Source organism: Homo sapiens, chromosome 12 (genome assembly GCF_000001405.40).
Source record: "Homo sapiens chromosome 12, GRCh38.p14 Primary Assembly".
Classification (NCBI taxonomy): domain Eukaryota; kingdom Metazoa; phylum Chordata; class Mammalia; order Primates; family Hominidae; genus Homo; species Homo sapiens.
The window spans coordinates 69,479,106-69,503,411 of NC_000012.12; the positions used below are offsets into that span (position 1 = coordinate 69,479,106).

General features: G+C 38.0%; 1 protein-coding gene across 14 annotated transcripts in view, besides 1 other annotated feature; it reads left to right on the forward strand.

Moving 5' to 3' along the window:
* Positions 1–24,306, forward strand: part of FRS2 (fibroblast growth factor receptor substrate 2) — a 109,406-nt gene that overhangs the window by 8,718 nt on the left and 76,382 nt on the right. For 2 of the 14 annotated variants that reach the window (XM_017018718.2, NM_001278355.2), the window contains exon 2: positions 7,097–7,192. The exons of 8 other annotated variants lie outside the window; for them this stretch is intronic. The gene's annotated coding sequence lies outside the window, so the exon portion shown is untranslated. Of the gene's footprint in view, positions 1–1,193; positions 1,255–7,096; positions 7,193–12,432; positions 12,547–24,306 lie in introns of all 14 variants that reach the window. 4 more of the 14 variants (NM_001278351.2, NM_001278354.2, NM_001042555.3 and 1 more) reach the window with 3 other exon arrangements.
* Positions 18,653–18,822: an enhancer, noted in NCBI's record as "active region_6652". NCBI's record gives its function as "activates an Ori minimal core promoter by ATAC-STARR-seq in GM12878 lymphoblastoid cells {active_cell/tissue: GM12878}" and the evidence as "EXISTENCE:reporter gene assay evidence [ECO:0000049][PMID:35858748]".

The following is a 24,306-nucleotide window of genomic DNA, read 5'->3' on the forward strand; positions in this document are numbered from 1 at the left end:
TTATTCTCATTTGCATCTGAGACCTCTGATCTAGGACCATTTTTCTTTGTGTGAAGTACATCTTTTAGAATTTTCCCTAGGGAGGGTGTGTTGGAAAACTTTTTGTTGGAAAATAACTTTTTCTTAGTCTCATTCCTGAAACTGGTTTTCCTGAATATATATTCTAGATTAGCAGTTGTTTTTTCTTTGTTCATTATAGATTTTATTTCATTATCTTCTGGCTTTTATTGCTGTTGAAAAATACACAGTGTGATTGACAGTCCTTTACAGTTAATCTGTTGTTTCTTTTTTTTTTTTTTTTTCTTTTTTTTTGAGACCAGTCTTGCTCTGTTGCCAGGCTGGAGTGCAGTGGCGCGATCTCAGCTCACTGCAGCCTCTGCCTCCTGGGTTCAAGCAATTCTCCTGCCTCAGCCTCCTGAGTAGCTGGGATTACAGGTGTGTACCACCACGCCTGGCTAATTTTTGTATTTTCAGTAGAGATGGGGTTTCACTATGTTGGCTAGGATGGTCTCCATCTCCTGACCTCATGATCCACCTGCCTCAGCCTCCCAAAATGCTGGGATTACAGGTGCAAGCCACTGTGCCTGGACTAATCTGTTGTTTCTTTATGGCTAGTTTTAGAACTGCTACTTTGTTCTTGGTGATCTGCATTTTCATTTTTATGTTTGGAAGTTGATTTCTTTTTATTTATCGTGCTTGGTATTAACTAGGTTTTCAAATCTGAAGATTAGTGTCTTTCAACAATTTTGGAGAATTTTTGGCCTTTTTCTTAAATTTTGTCTTCCATATTTTCTGTTTGGAACTTGTATTTGAAGTATGTTAGATCTTCTTACTCTACCTCCGTGTCTCTTAACCTGTCTTTTATATTGTCCATTTCATTATCTTTGTGTATTGTATTGTGTTCTGGATACTTTTCTTGAAGTTAGCTACTTCTCTCTTCAGCTGTGTTCAACCAGTTTATTGAATTTAAAAACTTTTTATTTAACTATTATGCCCATTTTTTTCATTATGGTTAAATACATATAACATAGAATTTACCATTTAACCATTTTTAAGTGTACAGTTCGGTGGCATTAAGTGCATTCACATCATTGTGCATCTGTCACCACTACTGATCTCCAGAACTTTTTCATCATCGTGAACCAAAACTTGTACCCATTAGACAGTAATTCCTTATTTCCTCTTTTCTCTAGCTCCTGGCAACCACTATTTGAGTTTCTGCCTCTACAAATTTGACTATTCTAGGTACTTCATGTAAGTGGAATCATAAAATATTTGTCTTTTTGTGTCTGGTTTATTTTACTTAGCATGTTTTCTAGGTTAGTCTATGTTATAGCATGTTCTTTGAGTTTTACAAATTTATGTTAGAGATGGGGTGTTGCTATATTGCCCAGGCTGGAGTGCAGTGACTCTTCATAGCGGCGATCATAGCACACTACAACCTCAAATTTCTGAACTCAAGCCATCTTCCTGTCTCAGCTTCCCAAGTATCTGGGAGCACAGGCATGTGCCACTGCACCTGGCCATTGGGTTTTTAAAAATTTCATTTACTATATATTTTTGTTTCTAGACATTTTATTCAGTTCCTTCTTAAGACTATCATCCTTTTTTTGGGTAGTCTTATTCCTTTTCTTGGTTATGTTCTCAATATTTCTTTTATTTCTTAAAAATCTATTAAATATACTTACTTTACATTTTGTGCCTGATAATCCAGTATCTGAAGTCTTTGCAGACATGATTCTGCTGTTTGTTTCTGCTGGCTGTTGCTTATGGTGCCACGCCTTCTTGTCTTGTAATTTTTGACTGTGAAGTTCTCGTAACTTTATGTTAGTTTTGCAGAGTGATTTTTAGTAGTACTTAAAAATTTTATTCCTTAGAGCTTATAAGTAACCGCCTGGAGAATAGTGTCCTATTTTCTTAAACGTTTTATTTTGAAATAATTTCAAACTTACAGGAAAGTTGCAAGAATAGTGCAGTAGACCTCTGTATACCCTTTATCCATAGTCACTAATTTTTAATATTTTGCCATATTTTTCTTTTTGCATACACACATTTATTTTTTTGTGAACCATTGAAGAGTAGATTGTATGCCTTTTACCTCAGGGTGTATTTCCTAAGAATAAGAGTATTCTCTTAAGATAATCACAGTACCATCATGAAAGTCCAAATTCCAGAATTTTTTTTTTTTTTTTTGAGATAAAGTCTCTTCCTGTTATCCAGGCTGGAGTGCAGTGGCACAATCACAACTCATTACAACCTTGAACTCCTAGGCTCAAGAGATACTCATGCCTCTCTTGTAGCTGGAACTACAGGCAGGCCCAACCATGCCCAGCTGATTTTTTTTTTTAAGATTTTTGTAGAGATGGTGTCTCACTATGTTGACCAGGCTGACCAGGTTGGTCTCAAACTCTTGGGCTCAAGCTATCCTGTCTCGGCCTCCCAAAGTGCTGGAATTACAGGCATAAGCCACCAAACCTGGCCCGAGAAATTTAACGTTGATACGGTACTTTACACTTTACATTCCCATTTTGGTAATTTGATCACATATTTTATTTTAGTCTCCTTTAATTTGGGGAGAGTTCCTCAGCAGTTCTTTGTCTTTCATGCAATTGAAGAGTATAGGTCATTTATTTTACGGAAGGTTTTTCAATTTGGACTTGTCTGATTTGATCTGATTAGCTTTTTGATTGTAGTCAGGTTATGTTTAGTCAGAATGTTACAAAAGTGATGTTTTCCTCTCAGATTATCACATCTGGAGATACATAATGCCCACTTGCCCCTCATTAGTGATTTTAACTTCGGTCAAGATATAGTCTGGTTCTTCTACTCTATAGTTACTATTTTTCCTTGTAACAAGCAGTCTGCTTAGAGGTACCTTAGTGTTTTATGGTTTTTTTTTTTTTCCTTAGTGAAAACTAAGTGTAGTAATAATATACCTTATATTTGTATAGTGCTTTCTATATATATGTGTATAATGTATAAGTATATATAATTGTATATGTATAATTGTTGAGAGTTTAAGGCTTGTGTAGAAGAGGTTTTTGATACTTTGCATAACTCTAGCTAAGATTTGTTAGATCAAGAAGTCAATAGAGTTGCACATAGCAAAGGAAATTCTAAAGCATTAGGTGACAAAGATTAGTGAGGCAGATTTTTTGATACCAGATCATTTCTTTTTATTAAACAATCCTTTAAGATATGAGTGATTAGAGGAGGTGACTTAAGGTTTTCCTAAGGTAAACTTTTACATTGATATTACGGGAGTGTTGGTTAATATAATCCTTTGATCTGGTAAATTGGTAGAAGCTGGGCCTTTTTCCCCCTAACCCTCTACCTCCCATTCCCAGTTAAAGCTGGAGAGACTTGGGCATTGAACCTTGGTTAAAATGTGAATTCATCCATTGACTGACTGAGTCAGTAGATAGTTATTGGGAGCCTACTATATTAGGCATTGTGTCAAAATGTTTAATTAAGACAGATGTGATTGCTGTCATGGAGCACAGTCCAGAGGTAATAAGCTTTTATATCTTTTGTGTGTAGTAGTCATTTATATATTTAAAATGAATGTATGTAAGAAAATATCATTTATATCTGTTGAAACTGTTTTCTGGCAAGGAAGAAAGTTCCGAGGGCTCTTGCTTAATAAATTATGTAAGTATAGGCTTTGAGGTTCAAAACTATTCAGTTAAGCATGTTCTGAAAATTGACTGATATTTTCATTTAAATTGAAGCCTTTTATTAAAACCTGACTTAAGTAAATTACATTCAATCTAGACTGCCATTTGCCTTCTGTGGGGTTTTGTGAATAGTTGGTAGGTTAGTGCCTTGAAAGCTACATGTTACAGGGCTCATTTTACATTCCCACATCTCCCACTCTCAGAAAAGTTTAATATTATACATGCTAGTGCATGTATTATTTTAACATTCTATTTTGAAGTAGACTCACAGGAAGTTGGAAAATAATAGTCCTGCATACCTTCACTTGGTTTTCCCAACGAAAACATCTTACATAGATGTCATTTATGAACACAAAAAAATTGACATCAATACATTACTGTTAATGAGACAACATACGGTATACAGATTTCACCATTTTTCAACCTGGACTTCCTTGTGCGTGCATGTGTACATATAGTTCTGTGTAATTTTATCCCATGTGTAGTTTTGTGGAAACAATACCACAATCAAGATACAGAATTGTTCCATCACCATGAAAACACTCCTTAGTGCTGCCTCTTTGTAGTTACAATGCCCCGTGACCCCCAACCACTAGTTTTGTCATTTTGAGAATGTTGCGTGAAGTCATGTAGTATGTAATCTTTGGAGATTGATGTTTTAAAAATGTAATTTGTTTTAATTCATAAAGTGAAATCTCAGAAAGTTTACAAAAATAGAAAAAAATTCTTAATTCTATCACTAATACAGTCAATTTTGGAGCTTTTTATAGCCTTTTTCATATACATCTTCTATCACTTATAGTATATACTCAATTTTGTTTGCTACTTTTTACAAACTTTATATTAAGTATTTTCCGTGTCACCATCCATCATATTTAGTTGTTGCTATCATAAGAAATGTTGCAAAATATAAAAAAATAAATTAAGCTTAAAAAGAGAAATACTGCAGAAAACACCTTTGAGTATATGGATTTCTTCATATTTCTAGTTATTTCCTTAAGGTAGGTTCCCAGGTATGATTTTTGAGTCAAAGGATATGAGAGTTTTTTAATCTTGAAATGTGGTTAAATTGCTTCTCAAAAGGATAGTATTACTAGTACTGTTTCACTGTATTCTTTTAGATTGGGTATTAGTGCTGTTTTCTCCTTCCCCCAACTTACTAGGCGAGAAAGGTACTTCACTGTTGTGGTTTTAGAGTGCATTTCTTTATGTAACAGTTTTTTCATGAAGAGTAAAATTGATTATAATGTCCTAAGACATGAACTTTAAAAAATGTGATATTACTTTTAATTAATTGGAAAAGCTTTTCTTTCTTTTTTTTTGACAGAGTCTCGCTCTGTCGCCCAGGCTAGAGTGCAGTGGTGCAATCTCGGCTCACTGCAACCTCCGCCTCCCGGGTTCACGCCATTCTCCTGCCTCAGCCTCCTGAGTAGCTGGGACTACAGGCGCCCACCACCACGCCCAGCTAATTTTTTGTATTTTTAGTAGAGGTGGGGTTTCACCATGTTAGCCAGGATGGTCTCGATCTCCTGACCTTGTGATCTGCCCGCTTTTGCCTCCCAGAGTGCTGGGATTACAAGTCTGAGCCACTGCACCCGGCCTGGAAAAGCTTTTTAATATCTGTGCCAGTGTTCCACAGTTCTGAGCTAGAGGCTGAATCACCACATCCTTCTCTTTAGCTTACAGGTTTACCTACAAAATGATTGCCAGTTTCTACATTGCTTCTCTTTGGTCTTTATCATTATCTCCTAGTTACTCTCCTCAATTTGGATTCTCAACCTTTCTTCCTGTCTGCTCCCTGTTCAAAGAGCTGCTGCTCCCTCCACTGGTACCATGCCAGCACCTCATTCATTTTTCCTATGTTGTCACTTTCAAGTGCCTAGTCGTGCTGACATGTTAATACATTACCATAATCTTATCTTTATAGTTAAGTATACCCCTGGGAGACTACAGTCTCCTGGAGCTCTCAGGAGTATTGGCCTTGACGTTTTTTGATGGCTGTTTAGGAATTTATATGGCTAATAATGTCTGAAGTCTGTATGTGTAACATATATGAATACAAAAATAACAAAACAACAAGAAAATTGTGCATCTTTTACTTTTCTGTGTGTTTTGGGAGACAGCAATACTATGTTGTTAGAGCAGCAGATCATTATGGTAACAACAGAAGACATCAAAACCTGCCAGGCATGGTGACATGCACCTGTGGTCCCAGCTACTTGAGAGGCTGAGGTGGAAGGATCACTTGAACCCAGGAGTTCAACACTAGCCTGGGAAACATAGTAAGACCTCATCTTAAAACACACACACACACACACACACACACACACACACACACACACACACACACACACTCTCACCCCCCTAAAACTCTTAAAACAGAAGTTTACTTATTTATTTATTTATTTATTTATTTTTGAGACGGAGTCTCGCTCTGTCCCCCAGGCTGGAGTGCAGTGGCGCCGTCTCCGCTCACTGAAAGCTCCGCTTCCCAGGTTCACGCCATTCTCCTGCCTCAGCCTCCCAAGTAGCTGGGACTACAGGCGCCCGACACCACGCCTGGCTAATTTTTTGTATTTTTGGTAGAGACGGGGTTTCACCGTGTTAGCCAGGATGGTCTCGATCTCCTGACCTCGTGATCCGCCCGCCTCGACCTTCCAAAGTGCTGGGATTACAGGCGTGAGCCACCGCGCCCAGCCTATTTATTTATTTATTTAGAGATGGAGTCTTGCTCTTGTCACCCAGGCTGGAGTGCAGTGGTGCGATCTTGGCTCACTGCAACCTCCACCTCCCAAGTTCAGGCGATTTTCCTGCCTCAGCCTCCTGAGTAGCTGGGATTACAGGCTCCCGCTTTCATGCCCGGCTAATCAAGATGAGGTTTCACCATTTTGGCCAGGCTGGTCTGGAGCTCCTGACCTTGGGTGATCCGCCCACCTTGGCCTCCCAAAGTGCTGGGATTACAGGCATGAGCCACCATGCCTGACCTAAACAGGTTTTAATTGAATACTTACTAAGATTCACACACTGTACTTAAGTGCATTTTTTTTCAGTCTTCACAATAATTCTGTAAATTTTGAGATAGCTATGTATTAAGATCCTCTATGTGATATATTGAGTAGGTACTTGAAAATGCTGGTTACAAGGAATCATAAAAAATAACATTTTTTTATTTTAACTAGAATGTACATTCCTTCACTTTTTCCCTATAGGGTCAAGGTTTTTGTTTGTAGATGGGTACTTTGATTAGAGTTCTGCATTGCCTTTTTTGGCATAATCCACAGCCATGCAGCATTATCCATTAAGTATCCTAATTCCCTTTTTTATGGAGAAGAGAGAATATAAGGCACTTTCAGTGTAATACAGGCATACCTCATTTTTTTGTGTTTTGCAGATAACTGCATTTTTTTTTTTTTTAACAGATTGAAGGTTTGTGGCAACCCTGTATTCAGAATTCTGTATCAGTGCCATTTTTCCAGCCAGCGTGTGCTTACTTCATGTCTCTGGGTCACATTTTGGTAATTCTCACAGTATTTCAAACTTTTTATCATTATTATATCTGTTATGGTGATCTTTGATGTTACTATTGTAATTGTTTTGGGGCACCTCAAACTGTGCCCATATAGGATGGTGAACTTGATCAATAAATGTGTGTGTTCTGACTGCTCCACTGAATGGTTGTTTCCTCATCTCTTTCCTGCTCCTCAGGGTTCCCTATTTCCTGAGACCCTAAATATTGAAATTAGGCCAGTTAGTCCTATGATGGCCTCTAAGTGTTCAAGTGAAAGGAGGAGTCACACATCTCTCACTTTAAATCAAAAGCTAGAAGTGATTAAAGTTAGGGAGGAAGGCATGTTGAAAGAGAAGCCTCTTGTGCCAGTTAGGTTGTAAATGCAAAGGAAAAGTTCTTGAAGGAAATGCAAAGTGCTACTCCAGTGAACATCCAGATGATAAGAAAGTGAAAGTCTTATTGCTGGTATGGAGAAAGTTTTAATGGCCTGAATAGAAGATCAAACCAGCCATAACATTCCCTTAAGCCAAAGCCTAATCCAGAGCAAGACCCTAATTCTGTTCAATTATATGAGGGCTGAGAGAGGTGAGGAAGCTGCAGAAAAAAGGTTTGAAGCCAAATAGAGGTTGGTTCATGAGGTTTAAGGAAAGAGGCCATCTATGTAACATAAAAGTGCAAGGTGAAGCAGCAAATGCTGATGCAGAAGCTGCAGCAAGTTACCTAGAAGAACTTCTTTATCATTTTTCTTAGAATTATGTGTTATGGTTATATAGATGAGGGCTTGCTAAATTGCCCAGGCTGGTCTCAAACTCCTGGCCTCGCCTCCTTATGCACCAGAACCATAGGCCTGAGCCAACATGCCTCACCAGAAGAACTAATTTAGATAATTGATGAAGGTGGCTACCCTGAACAACAAATTTTATTGTAGTTGAAACAGCTTTCTATTGCAAGATGCTGTCTAGGACTTTCATAGCTAGAGAGAAATCTATGCTTGGTTTGAAAGCTTCAAAGGACAGGCTGACTCTCTACTTAGCCAATGCAGCTGGTGACTTGAAGTTAACATTTACCATTCCAGAAGTCCTAGGGCCCTTTAAGAATGATGGTAAATCTACTCTGTGCTTTATGAATGGAACAATAAAGTCTGGATAACAGCACATCTCTTTACAGCATGGTTTATTGAATATTTTAAGCCCACTGTTGAGACCTACTGCCCAGAAGAAAAGATTTCTTTCAAAATATTACTACTCACTGACAATGTACCTGGTCACTCAAGAGCTGTGATGGGGATGTACAAGATTAATGTTGTTTTCATGCCTACTAACACATCTATTCTGCAGCCCATAGATTGAGGAGTAATTTTGACTTTCAAGTCTTATTGTTTAAGAAATACTATTTTGTAACACTATAGGTGCCATAGGTAGTGATTCTTCTGATGGATCTGGGCAAAGTAAACTGAAAACCTTCTGGAAAGGATTCACCATTCCAAAGAGTCATTAAGAACACTTGTGATTTATGGGAGGAGGTAAAAATATCAACATTAATGGGAGTTTGGAAGAAGTTGATTCCAGCTCTTATAGATCTCTTTGAGAGATTGAAGACTTCACTGGAGGAAGTAACAGCATATATGGTGAACATTGCAAGAGGATTGGAATTAGAACTACAGCCTTAGGATGTGACTGAATTGCTGCAATCTCATGGTCAAACTTTAACGGATGAGGAATTGCTTCTTAGGAATGAGCAAAGAATAGTTTCTGAGATGGAGTCTACTCCTGATGAAGATTTTGGGAACATTGTTAAAATGATAACAAAAGATTTAGAATATTACATAAATTGAGTTGATAAAGCAGTGACAGGGTTTGAGAGGATTGATGACTCCAATTTTGAAAGAAGTTCTACTGTGGGTAAAATGCAGTAAATTAGCACCACATGCTACAGAGAAATCTTTTGTGAAAGGAAGAGTCATTTGATGCGGCAAGTGATTGTTGCCTTAAGAAATTGCCGCAGCCACCCCACCCTTTAGCAACCACCACTCTGATCAGTCAGCCGCTGTAACCTTGAGACAAAACCCTACACTAGCAAAAAGATGACCACTTGCTGATCAGATGATCATTAGCATTTTTTAGTAATAAAGTATTTTAAAATTAAGGTATGTGCGTTTTTTTAAACGTAATGCTGTTGCACACTTAATAGACTACGGTACAGTGTAAACATAACTTTTGTTTGCCCTGGGAAACCAAAAACTTTGTGACTTGCCTTATTGCAAAATTTGCTTTATTGCTGTGGTCTGGAGCAGAACCCGCAATATCTTTGAGGTATGCTTGTATATAAAATCCTTCCACGTTTTCATGCTTTTCCTCCTATTTGAAGCTGTTTTGACATATACCTAATTCCATAATAACTTTAAAAAATACTAGCCTCTGAATCTTTTTGAACTTTTCAACATAATTTTCACAGAAACAACCTTTTTCCTCATAATTCAGTTCATACGATCTTAAATTATATAATTAACAATAACAAGTGCAGTTGGCATAAACTGGTTTGGGAATGGACTGCTGGCTCTTATTAAGCATTAAGTGCAGAAGGGTAGGGACATGTTAAGAAAGTGGTCTGCTTAGAAGACTACTAGGTGTAGGTGATGAGCCTGTGTTGGGCATTAGGGAGTGATTTATGGAGGGATTGGAGAGCTTTACTTTTGTAAGTTTGATACAGTAGAAGTCTGTTAAAAGAGTTTCTACTGAATTATTATTCCTCTTTCCATTTTATAGATGAAAAAACTGAGGCCTCAGAGAGTTAAGTAACCTTCCCAAGGTCAGGCAGGTGATAATAGTGGAGCCCCAGGATTTTTACCTAGATGTTTATTGGTTCAAATACAGCATGTACTCTTACCTTCTGTGCAGGTGTTTGATGCCTTTTAGGGAATCTGATTTACCCAGTCAATAGGTAATCTTGAGTGGTCTTCAGGTAGTGTTTGGGGTAGAGTTCTGTAAGTTGTCCCACATCTTAGATACTGGCTTCATTTTGCTCCTTGGTTCTTTTTTTTGCACCAACTGTGTAAGAAAAATGAGGGAACATTCCAAGATAAAAATTAAGCTTACAAGCCTTGGTTAGGTGGCTTCCGCCTATAATCCCAGCACTTTTGGAGGCTGAGGTGGGAGGATTGCTTGAGCTCAGGAGTTCAAGACCAGCCTGGGCAACATGGTGAAATGCCGTCTCTACTAAAAATACAAAAATTGGCTGGGTGTGGTGGCGCATGCCTGTAGTCCCAGCTACTCAGGAGGCTGAGGCAGGAGAATCGCTTGAACCCAGGAGGCGGAAATTGCAGTGAGCTGAGACCATGCCACTGCACTCCAGCCTGGGGACAGAGCAAGACTCCATCTCAAAAAAAAAAAAAAAAGAAAATTATTGGTTGGTTGGTGACATTCTTGTCCTTTTTCTCTGTAATTGTCAAGATATGTAAATATCACATATTCTGAGGTGTTTTTTATATCCTGTTTTCTTAACTGTACCTTTTGTGAAGTTTTTGGGGTTTTTTTTTTTGGCTTTTCTGGGGGTCATTAGCCTGAGTGTTTGAATCTGGCAAAGGAATATACTGATTGTTTGATATGCCAGCTAACATCTTTTGTTTGCTGAGGTATATTGTAGACCTCAAGAGACTGTAATTGATTTTAACAACAAACCTTTGAGCTATATAGTTTGATTAAAAAAAAAATAGGTCGTCAAGTCTAAAACATACTGATGTAGCAGTATGTTCAGATGGCCAAGTCATAATGTTAACAAAAGACCCAGTAAAAGGATTTTAACAAAAAATAAATACACTACTCTTTATGTTACCGTTATGTATTTTCCCCATGTCAAGAATATGCTTTCTTGTTTTATAATGAAATAGATTGTTTGAATCTGAGAAAGAAGAGGGGACCTGAGTAGTATTAGCTGCTATCAAATTAATAATTCTTTATCTAATAGCAAAAACAAAAATCATATTAAATAGCAACATTTAAAAATTAGCTTGAAAAAGATGAACTGTTTCTTTACATTTCTTGAGTTTTAATGACTAATTGAGGGATTATAGTGTTCAGCTTATTTGGAATTTAAGAGCTAAAAAGAAAAATTCCATTAGAAAAATACCTTGAAAATGTGTGGGTTTTTTTTTTTTTTTTGGCATTTGAAACTTTTGCCCAAGTTTTTGTCCTCCTTCTTCTCTTGTTTTTAACTGCCTTTTGGATTCAAATGATTTTGGCACTTCTTAGGTTCTTTACAAAATATTTCTGGTGTATATAGCCATTTGAGATCTAGACCATAACCAGAAATTTCAGCCAGATGGTTTTTTTCTTTTGGTGAAGCACAGTTTGTAGAGTGCTAACAAAATTGTATTGTATTCAGTGTTATTTCTGTAAAAAGATTGCTTTGGGTAAGATACATTCTTTGTGTATTTCTTGACTTCTTATATTTTGTTTTGGTTGATGCAAAGTTGCCATGGTTATACTTTTCACTAAAGAAATAAGTCCTCTACCTATGGTTATTGGTAACCTCTAGTAGCCTAGATTTTCAGTCCAAATTAAAAGTGCCTAGAGATAAAAGAGTAGAACTATTTATGGATTAGAGGATCTGAGAGAATGTCCTAAATTATTTTGCTGTTTTAAAAATTATTTTAACAAAAGTTTAGTAAGTGTACATGATCTAAAATTTAAAGATACAAAAGGGCTTATTGTGAAAAGCAAGTCTTTTTTCCTACCTTTCTGTCTACTAGGTCCCATGCCCTAAGGCAGTTCCTGTTTATAGCACATTTTCTTCCTACATTTATAACCACATTCTTTTTCTTTTGAGACAGGGTCTCTTGCTCTGTCACCCTGGCTGGAGTGCAGTGGCGTAATCTTGGCTCATTGCAGCCTTGACCTCCTGGCCTCAAGCGATCCTCCCACCTCAGCCCTTGAAGTAGCTGGGACCACAGGCACAAGCCACCCACCTGCCTAATTTTTTATATTTTTTATAAAGACGAGGTTTTGCCATGTTGTCCAGGCTGCTCTCAAACACCTGAGCTCCAGCGACCTGCCCACCTCGGCCTTTCAAAGTGCTGCGATTAATAGTCGTGAACTACCGCGCCTGGCCCATACGTAGCTTTTTAATGGCTGTATAGTATCCATCAAACGGAATGTACTATAAATTCCTTTTTTGGTGGACATTAAGTTTGTTTCCTATCTTTGGTGCGTTTCTTCCATTTTTTTTTTTTTTTTTTTTTTTTGGAGACAGGTACCCAGGCTGAAGTGCAGTGTCACAATCATAGCTCACCACGGTCTTGAACTCCTGGGCTCAAGCGATCATTCTGACTCAGCCTCCCAAGTAGGTAGGACCACAGGTGTACAGGTACATACCTCCATTTCCAGCTAAGTTTTTAAAATTTTGTTGTAGAGACGGGGACTCACTATGTTGTCCATGCTGGTCTCAAGTGCCTGGCCTCAAGTAGTCCTCTCAACTGCTGGGTTTACAGGTGTGAGTGAGCCACAGTGCTGGGGCTATGTTTGACTTTTAAAATAATGATTTAATGAATATTGTATACATATTTTGCCCGTGCAAGTACTTTAAAATTAGAAGTAGAATTTCTGTGTCCGTGGATATACAATAGCATTTTTGATAAATATTTCCAAATTGTTCTTTGTGTATTCATTTCTAAAGATAGAATGTTAGTTTTATAAGGTACTCTGCAAAAATATGATTACTAGTTTGGTTATATGCTGTTTATAATTAGATTTATTTTCTCTATTTTTATTAATTATGTGGTTGCAAGCACTGATCACTCTTGTGCAAACAACTGGCTTTCACTTGTTTACTTCATCAAAAATGTATTATTTTCATTATTAGCAGTCACTGTAATTTTACTTTATGTGGATAGCCTGTATCTTGTGAATGAATTGTGTTTAAAAAAGAATTTGACTAGAGGCTGGGGGTAGAGGAAAGGGAGAGTTTGAAATAAGACAAAGAAACAAAAAAAAGTAATTTGGAATTATGAATCTGTATTTCCATTAAGTCATATAAAATGGAGTAACAGGGAAATGGGAAAATATGTTACTAGTTCCACCCAGGGGATCCTGATATCTGTGATTCAGGTAAGTTGAGATGAACTAGGTCTTGAAGGAGATGATGGAGAGGGATGAAAAGTGGAAATGGCTGTAATTGTCAGGAAGATTTATGGAATCTGAGAAAAAGGAAATGGAATGGAAAAGAAGATTTCTAGGGATAAGACAAAGAACCATCTGTATGTTAAGCATAGTTTATTCCTTTTTTTAAAAATCTCATATATTTTTGGGGGGCAAGCGAGTGGTTACTGTTGAAGTCACTTTAAGGATTGTTTTGGGAGAGAGGATAGCTTGGCTCCATATGGATTTTTTTTAGGGATGCTCTAACTATTCTTCCCTGACGTGAAAACATACACAAAAGCTCTAACTTAAAAGATAATGTTCTGTCTGTTATAGTCCACTTAGTTTAGAGGTATCTAGGGCTGGTCTCACTTGGTAGCAATAATTCTCTGTTTGGTTCCATGGTGGAGCAAAACAGACTTGACTGTACAGCCATTGTCCTTCAGATGTGTCTAAATTTCTCAGTCTGTTTATGAGCATCAACAAACACTTTGTGCATACTTCTGCCATGGGTTGAATGCGTCTATTTTCCTTTAATTTAGTTTAAAACTAGTAATGGAATTCCTGAGGTTTTGAGAGGAATAGTGTTGGCAAATTAAGTTTTGAAACTAAAGACATATTAAGATACCAAGCAAAACAGAGAGACTATTGCTTTAGAAAGAGATCTTAAAACTCCGCTGACATTTGCAAAGCCAGTGTCTTATATTTATAAAAGCTTTAGATAGGAACTGCTATTTTTCTAAAATTGTTGGTTTAAAAATAATTGTTACATTTGTGCATTTTAAAAGTTGCTTCTAACACACTTTGGGTATGCTTGAGCTCAGCCTTTTCAGCAAAGTATACAGACATTTGGGCATCAGCCTTTTTGGTCTTATTCTGTCTCAGACGATTTATGGATTGTGGATGTCAGGGATTTGATAAGCTCCCATTAAAATATGATGTGGTTTTTAAAATTGCTTAAAATGCCCTTTGAACCTGTTAAAATGTGCTGCCGTCATCTGAATTAAGAAATTTAGCTGCCGGGCGCGATGGCTCACGCCTGTGATCCCAGCACTTTGGAAGGCCAAGGCGGGTGGATCACCTGAGGTCGGGAGTTCAAGACCAGCCTGACCAGCATAAAGAAACCACGTCTCTACTAAAAATACAAAAATTAGCTGGGCATGGTGGCGCATGCCTGTAATCCCAGTTACTTGGGTGGCTGAGGCAGGAGAATTGCTTGAACCCGGGAGGCGGGGGTTGTGATAAGCCGAGATCGCGCCATTGCACTCCAGCCTGGGCAACAAGAGCGAAACTCCGCCTCAAAAACAAAACAAAACAAAAAAGAAATTTAGCTAAATATTGCTAAAATGGCAAATGATAGCACTTGTCATTTTGATGTTTGTGCGTTAAGTGTACTTTCATTCCCTTTAGAAAATACTAGCTGCATATACATAGGATTTAATCAGGAAAATATGCTTTTTCCCTGATTAAATATCTTTAATACTATTTCATCTGCATTCCATTAATATTCAATCGTGGCCTCAGCTATTTACGTGAATTTTACCCATCAATCCATGAGCTTTTTTGAGTGCCTACTGTGTGTTAAATCTATCTGTATGTTTTGTTTTCTTGTTAGGCTTCTTTTCAGAATTTTTCCAGGGCAAGAATTATGTTTTCTTATATTTGGCAATTTTGCACAATGCAATTTATACCTTATTGTAATGGGTAGGTGCTTAGAATTTATTCGTCCATTTGTGCTAGACGCTGAGGCTACAAAGTCCAATAAGGTAAGGACTCTTATCTTCAAGTTCCTTAAATTTTGATAGGCGATAAAATAATTATAGTACCATAATAATTTAAAAATACATCTTTGAGTGGGCCAGAGCTCTGTCTGTGATGGAGATTTTACTCTGAAGAATGGTAACTAACATTTGTAGAGTGTCTACTCTCTGCCTAGGGCTTCTGTTTCAGTTTTTCCTCCTAGCAATCTTTCAGTATAAGCATGATATCCAATTTATACATGAGGAAACTCTCTCAGAGAGGTTATATAATTTGCTGCAGCTCATTTAGCTAATGAGTTGTGGAGCTGGAATTCTAACTCAGTTCTTTCTTTTAAACTGGGGCTTCTAAATGTTAGCATTATTGACATCTTGAGCCAGATACTTCTTTGTTGTGGGAGACTGTCCTATGCATTGTAGAATGTTTAATAACATCCCTGGCTCTACCTAAGGCCAGAGTGAGTCAAGGAGGCACGTAGGACTTAAAATTTAAGGAGGCAGTCACTCTCAGGATCTTGTAAGTGCTGACCCTATGTTTTATCTCACAGCACCTGAGTAAGTTCTCCTGTGCTATAGCCTGTTGCTTCTAGATTTTTGTTTTGTTTTGTTTTCGAGATGGAGTTTTGCTCTTGTTGCCCAGTCTGGAGTACAGTGGTGCACTCTCGGCTCGCTGCAACCTCCACCTCCTGGGTTCAAGTGATTCCCCTGTCTCAACCTCCCGAGTAGCTGGGATTATAGACGCCCACCATCACGCCCAGCTAATTTTTAAATTTTTAGTAGAGACAGAGTTTCACCATGTTGGCCAGGCTGATCTCAAACTCCTGACCTCAGATCCACCCACCTTGGCCTCCCAAAGTGCTGGGATTACAGGCATGAACCACCTCGCCTGGCCGCTTCTAGGTTTTAATTCAGTATTCCCTGGTATCGATATGAGGACTAAATCTCCTACACACTTAAAAGTTTCGTGGGAGCTGAAGAACAGTGATGAACAGGAGCTTTTAGGCGTTTATTGTTTTTCTCATCCCAGAACACATACTCTTGGCCAAAAGTGACTAATCAGAAATAGCATTTATAAATGCTAAATAAATACTTGCTAAGTATTACAGTGCTTAGAAGCTGTAAGTGATGTGTTATGAAACAAACCTATTGCTTCAAATTATTGGAAACTTGTACTATACATGGAATATACTCAGCTTACTCATGCCTGGTGGGCCTAGCATTTAGCTGCTAGTCTTGGCTTATTTACCATTAGAAATTCCATTGATTGTTTTCTCATGTCTGTGCCTCAATATAATAAATATTTCCTTGTTGTATGGATACATGCACTAATACCTTTTGATTAACTACATGATAAACACAGTCTAGATCGTTTGGGTGGGTAGTTCTCTAGAATGGAGTATTTAAAAAATGGAGACTATAATAAAAATCTAAATTTTAGGAGTATTACAAAATAATGCTTAACAGTTTGGGAGGCTGAGGCAGGAGGATAATTTGAGGCCAGGAGTTTAAGACTGGCCTGGGCAACATAGCAAGACACTGTCTCTACAAAATAGCAACAACAACCAAAACAAAAATTAGCTGGCTGTGGTGGTGCACACCTGTAGTCGTAGCTACTTGGGTGGTGCACACCTGTAGTCGTAGCTACTTGGGAGGCTCATAGGGAGGATTGATTGAGCCTAGGAGATAGAGGCTTTGTGAACTCTGATAGTGCCGTTGCACTCCAGTCTGGATGACAGCGAGACTCTCTCAAAAAAAGAGAAAGGAAAAAAAAAGTGCTTAATTGAATTATTAATAGTATGCCAGATTTGGAGGCCAAGTAGTTTTAACTTACATTTAGCTTTCTGATAAAGCATTAATATTTGACTTACGATAATACTAATTTTTTTCTTTTAAGTTTTAGTGTGTTTTTTTGATAAATGGTCAAAACTCTGTCCTAAAACATATTGTCATGGATTTACACTTAAAGCTTGTAGTCTGGCCAGGCGTGGGGGCTCACGCCTGTAATCCCAGCACTGTGGGAGGCCGAGGCGGGCGGATCATGAGGTCAGGAGATCGAGACCATCCTGGCTAACACAGTGAAACCCCGAATCTACTAAAAATACAAAAAAATTAGCCGGGCGTGGTGGTGGGCACCTGTAATCCCAGTTACTCAGGCGGCTGAGGCAAGAGAATTGCTTGAACCGGCGAGGCGGAGGTTGCAGTGAGCCGAGATCGCGCCACTGCACCTCCAGTCTGGTGACAGAGTGAGACTCCATCTCAAAAGAAAAAAAAAAGCTTGTAGTCTGATGAACAAATCCATTGCAATAGAAAGGAGCCTGTGAACGATAAAATAGGTATATCTACATATTTTTGAAGTGTCCAGCTAAAGTCAAAACAGCAACCTAGTTTGGGTTTGGTAGAGCTCTTACAGGCTTCAGATCAGGTATATATAAACCAAACGCTTTCACTTATAATAATAGTGTATAACAATTCTAACTTGCAGTTGTATTAGTAGTTTTATCATTATTAGGAAACACTCTATACTTTGTAGCTTTTTGCCTAAGGTAACTTTTGGTTAGAGAAGATATTAGTTATCTTTACCATTTGCCTACAAAAATCGTTGCTTAGGGCATAACAAATAGGAATCATACATTTATATCTAAGAATATAATTGGAACTAAGTGGCTGAAATTAATAACAATAGGTAACAGAGAACAATTCTATGTGCTAGATGCTATTCTAAGTTACACACACTCTGTCTCTTAATCCTTACATCTCCTGCAAGGTTTAGATATTATTCCAAATGTATGAAAGAGGAAATGAGGAAGCAAAGATATAAAATGGATGATATTAAATAAAACTGAAGATAGAATGTTCTAGAGTCAATTCAACTTAGATTCATTTCTTCATACAACAAATCTTTATTGACTATTGGGCCCTGTTGTCTGTACTGGGGACTGGGGCTGTAGCAGTGAGCAAAGCAAAGTTCCTGCACTCATGTAGCCTACAGGCCGGTGTTTAGAAAGAGACAACAAACAGATATATAATTCATTGGTGGTAATAAGCGCTATGAAGAAAGAGTTGGTGAAAGGGTTGGAATGTGGGGTGAGCTTAGTGCTCTTAGTGTCTTAGTACATTCGGGCTAATATAACAAAATACCTTAGACTGGGTAGCTTATACATAACAGATTTCTTTCTCATAGTTCTGGAGGCTGGGAAGTTCAAGTGACCAGTAGATTCAGTGCCTGGTAAAGGCATACTGTCTGCTTCATAGATGGTGCCTCTTGCTGTGTCCTCACATGGTAGAGGGGGTAAGATTGCTCCCTTCAACCTCTTTTATAAGGGCACTAATCCCATTCATGAGAGCAGAGCCATCTTGACTTCCTCACTTCCCCAAAGGCCCTACCGCTTAATACCGTTGTTTTGGGTACTAGGTTTTAACATAAAATTTTAGGGGGATGCCAACATTCAGACCGTAGCAGATGATAAGGAAAGGGCTTTCTCCTAGAGGTTGCCTGAAGAGCATGGGAGAGTGAGCCCTGTAGATATTCGGGAGAGAACATTTCAAGAGAGGGAAAAGCAAGTGTAAAAGCTCTAGCTGAGCTAATTTGTTTCTTACTGTATTCAAGGAACTGCAGAGAGAGCAAGGGGCCTGGCCATTGTAAATACTTTCACTTTTACTTGGGTGAGATAGAAAGTCCTTGGAGAGTTTTGAGCAGAGTAGTAGTCTGATCTGGTAAGTCTGCTGTGTTCCACTAGTAGATGTTTCAAATGGTAAGGTGATTATGAGAGTATAACTGTTATTCCAGGAAAAAGATAATTCCACCAATATCTATCATCAGTCCTTGTTTGTTTTTTCAGATTTTTTTTTTATGTGTACATTAACTTTAACAGTAGAAACTTGCTATTTTCTCTCATTTTTTTATGTGAGATTTATTAACTAAAGTGCTATTTTTCTGAATGGAGAGTGGGCCAGTAGCATTATACTATGTATTTTTAGGATTACAAAGAAGACATAAGTTAGCCCTGACAGGAAGATTGCAGTCTAGTTGGAAAGGAAATACTAAAATATGCAAAACAATAATTTTATGTTGTGGATCTATTCTATACAAGGAATTAATGTATCAAGGGATAAAAGTATAAGGCACAATGACTATCCTCAGACTGCTAATAGTCTAGTAGAGGCTGAGACAGAGAATTTCAAAGTCTACAAGTTTTGAGATGAGTTGAGTATTAATTCACCTGCCACAAGAGCCGTGAGGTGTAGAGCAAGCTTGTCCAACCTGCGGTTCATGCGGCCCAGGATGGCTTTGAATACAGCCCAACACAAATTTGTAAACTTTCTTAAACCATTATGAGGGTTTGTGTGTGTGTGTGTGTGTGTGTGTGTGTGTGTTTGGTTTTTTGTTTGTTTCGTTTTTTTTTAGCTCATCAGCTCTTGTTAGTGTATTTTATGTGTGGTCAGGACAATTCTTCCAATGTGGCCCAGGGAAGCCAAAAGATTGGACACCCCTGGAAAGAATATGAGAAGTGGGGGAAGTCTGGCCTGTGCATGCTTCAGAGAGCTGGTGGAGCTTGAAGAAGTGGAGGATTGGCAGAGGTTATTCAGGGCGTGGGAAACACTGTGAGCCAAGCACATAAAGTCAGGTGTATTTGTGGTAGTGGGCAAACCAGCCTTGAGCTGAGATTGTGTGTAGGATTATAAAGGAGTAATAACACTATTGTTTATTGAGCTTCTATTATGTACCAGTCCCTTCATTACACACTTGATGTTTATAACAACTTTATGAGGTATTATTGGCCCTCTTTTTACAAATGCTTAGCCAAGGTATCTGGAGGTTAAATTACTTTTGTAGGATGACACAGCTGGCAAATGATGGAAATATTACTTGAGCAGTTTGATTCTAGATACCATGAAAATCTATTATATTGGTAGAATTGGGGCTAGATAAGTGCCTAAAAGCTGGCAGAGTAGGCAACTCTTATGATTATAGTCAATAGGAAACTATTAAAGATTGTTGACTAGAAGTGTAACCTAGTGAAAACTCTTCAGGAGTATTATTCAGGCAATTGTGTGTATAGTGTATTGGACAATGACCTTTGCAAAGGTCAATTTAGAGGACAGACAGGAGGATTTAAAGAGAGTTGAACTAGGATGCTTGAATAGGAATTGAGATGTGAGTCCAGATGGGACCACTTTTTGGAATGTATTTTTTTCTTGATGATAAAAATATAGAAAACATACAAAGTTACAGGAAAATATGGAGCAGATGGAACTTACTCATTTCTACCATGTACCATGTAGAAATGACCCCTGTTAATATTTTAGGGCATTCCTTTTCAAATCTGTCCCATATCATGTGTTCCCCTCTGCCCTCCACCCTCCAATTTTGGAGAAAGCATCCACAAGGCTACATATCTCCTCTCATAGAGTGTGAAAGTTTTTAAGAAACAACATTCTAAAATAAGATGATTTTATTTGCACACATGATTTTATTTGTGGAATGAATGAGCTGGTAAATTCTGGAATTCAGTGAATGGAGAGGGATGAATCACAGGTAGCTTCTAGATTTTTAGATTGTGTGAATGGTTATATAGGAGAATCTAGCTAGGTTTTGATGGTGAAGTTGGAGTAGGGTGGGGGTGGGGGATGATCCAGAAGAAAATGGTGTTGAATTTGATGTGCTGGTATAGTATCCCAAGTTGGAATCTGGAGCTTAGTTGAGAATTTGGGGTCATCAAATAAGCCAGAAAATGTGGAGAAAAAATTGAGTTTAAAATGGCCACAATTCTGGTCAGAGTAGTGTTTCTGACACTTCAGTTTTTTTGAGGGCCATTCCAAGATTCAGTTATTTCCTTAATATCTTTAAATGACTCTTTTCCTTAAATACATTTATTTAAAGAGAAATTTTATATTGGTACCGTAAATGGAAAACTAGTATCACTGGCTTTGAATAGTTGGCAATGGCAACATTAAAATAACAACGAAATAATGGTATTAACTTTTAGATAGATGCTGTTACCTGCTAAATTCTCTGAGCCTAAATCTGCCCAGTAAAAAAAACAAAAAACAACAACAAACGACATGAAGATACTAAGATCTTGTAATTAGAAGGCTTGAGGGATTGAAAAGCTATTAACTTTCTCATGACATGATTGGTTATTGTATACATTCTACCTAAAGTGGGCATACATCCCACACATCCTAAAGTGGGGAGCATCAAGGTATGGTAGAGGGAAGAGGAATTGGCAGTGGGAATAGAGAGGAATTGATAAAATACCTTCTCAGTGTGTTAGGAAGTTTTATCTAGAATATAAATTAGTAAATGAAAATGTGGACAAGGTGCCTAACAATGATGAAGAAAATGCATTCTTAGATTTCAAATATAGTATCTATTAGAACATTTCTTTTGGTTATGATTCTGGTCTTATGATTGAGTCTTAGCAGGCTTATTTAATTCAACCATAATAATTCAGTAAATGACATTTGTAGATACAGGCTTAAACGTGAATTAGACTGTCATCTTTTTATATATGAACTGTCTCTAAAAAGGAAGAATTCCACCCCTTTTTAGATCCTACTTTGAGGGAATGTGATTATATATAATAGGGATAGGGAATAATTTTGAGGAATAGTTTTGTGAGTCATATACAAAGGTATGAACCAACACTGGTCACAGATGTGAAGTTCTTTTTACTTTTGGTGGATGGGGGAGGAATGAATGTATTAATGGTTTACTTGTGTTTTTGTTATCCTTAAAATGAAAATTTGTCCCTTAATTCTGAACACATTTTTGGAAGTTCTTTAAATTTATGCTGATTAAATCATTCTACTTTTCTGTGGATTATGCATAATAGTACTTTGTTGTTTTCTACATTATAAAATTAATTTTAAAGAATATCTAAGGGGAATGTATGTGCTTTCCCTGCCTTCTTTTCAAGCTGAATTGAGATGGTCCCAATTTAAGATGAACTTTTTCTGTTGAAAAAAGACTTGTTTAGGAATTGCCATCCTTAAAAAAAAAAAAATCATTGTATTGCTACATATGATGATTACAACCTCCCCCCTCCCCCTTTAAAAGAATGAGACAAGATATAAATAAATACGTAGTGTAATTGCCAGGACACAAAGCTCTGTAATGTACCTGAAGTACAGACTGCTCATGGCACCTAACCACCATTTTTAACAGTGATTCTGTGGGGGTGGAAAGACATTCGTGACTCCCGACCAACCAGTGAATCATTTTGGCATGTACCATGTTGAAGTTTGGAATAGAAATAATTGTTTCTAGCAGAAGAGATGTATTAGAATTAGATATCTCTTGCTGTTATCTGCTCTTGAATGTGCCAGAAATTGTATTCAGTAGAAGGTATAATTGTTAACATATTTCTTTTGCATTATATTAGGGCTTTTAAACTTAATTTTGAGCAACATTCAGTTTAGCATAACAAACAAATTAGATGTTAAGTGTTAGATTCACTGTAGAAATATGCTCCACTGCTCATCTGGAGATTTTTCTGGTTCTCAGTTTCTTCAAGCATATCAGGATTCTCGAACTCTGGAGGGTGTGGACGGTTGTGTGGAAAGAGGTGATGAATTGGCTGTATTACCTGAAAGTAAATTCCCCATCTTAATCAGTTGATGTTGGGATTTCATTATCATATTGTTTATTAAAACACCATTCTATTGTTGTTGATATATTTTCCAGGTTACAAGCATTCTTTACTAGACAGCATTAGCGTAGACATCTGTGGAAGCATGTGTGAAACAACTGTATGGAGAAACACCTATCTGTTTTTTTTGTTTTGTTTTTTTTGTTTTTTTGTGAGATGGAGCCTCCCTCTGTCACCCAGGCTGGAGTGCAGTGGTATGATCTCGGCTCACTGAAACCTCCGCCTTCTGGATTTAAGCAATTCTTCTGCCTCAGCTTCCTGAGTAGCTGGGTTTATAGGCACCTGCCACCACGCCCGGCTAATTTTTGTATTTTTAGTGGAGACGGGGTTTTACCGTGTTGGCCAGGCTGGTCTTGAACTCCTGAACTCAAGTGATCTGCCCACCTTGGCCTCCCAAAGTGCTGGTATTACAGGTGTGAACCACTGCACCTGGCTAACACCTATCTTTTGTATTAAAGGGACATCATTTATTAGAATGGACTTCACTGAATGCAGCTTTTCCAGTTGATAATGTAGTTATTCCAAGAAATCTTATATATAACACAGTTTACTGTGATTTTTTTAATTTTTAATTTTTTTTTTATTATAGAGTTGGGGTCTCACTGGTTGCCCAGGCTGGTGTCAAACTCCGAGGCTCGAGCGGTCTTCCCACCTCAGCCTCCCAAAGTGCTGGAATTATAGGTGTGAGTCACCATGCCCGGCCACTGTGATTTTTGGTTGATGACAGCTTATCCAGCAAATATTTATTGCATGCCTATGTGTCAGACATTTTTTAAGGTGCTCAGTATTCCGCAGAGAACAGGAGACATAATCTCTGTACGGATGGAGCTTTCATTATGATAAGTGAGAGGAGCAGCAAGCAAATTAATACATACAGTCTGGTAATTATAAATATGAGGGAAATGAATGCAGTGTGGTTTCAAAGCTATGTACCCCATTATGATGACCTTTCTTTAGTTTCCAGGCAAATTTATAGTCTGCCTCTGGTCTTCCTGTTGGAAGTGTTGCTGAAGCTAGAAGTAAATCTACCTACTCTAGCAGCAGCAGCAGCATCAGCATCAGCAGCAGCTGCCGCCTACAGCCTTTCCCTCCAAGGAGTCCCTTATTAATTTTGCTACATAACAAATTACCATAAATTCAGTGGCACCCACAGTTCTATACATCAAAAATCTGGATACATGTGGCTAGATTCTCTGCTCAGGATATCACAAGGTTGAAATCGAGGTGTCAGCTGGGATGATTTCTTGTCTATAGGCTCTGGCAAAGAATCCACTTCTAAGCTCATTCAGATTATTGGCAGAACTGAGTTCCTTGCAGCTGTAGGACTGACGTCTTGTTTCTTTGTTGGCTGTCAGCTGGGAGCCACTCTCAGCTTATAGATGCTGCCTTTATTCTTTGCCATATGCCCCCCCTCCATTTTGAAAGCCAGCTATGGAGAATATCGTTTTTGTCTAATCTCTCACCGACCAGTCTCTCTGACTTCTGTCTTCTAGACCCACGTTTGAAGGATTTTTGAGGTTAGTTCAGGATTATCCAGCTGGATAATCCCATTTTCTTAAAGTTAGCCTGATCATGAAAGTA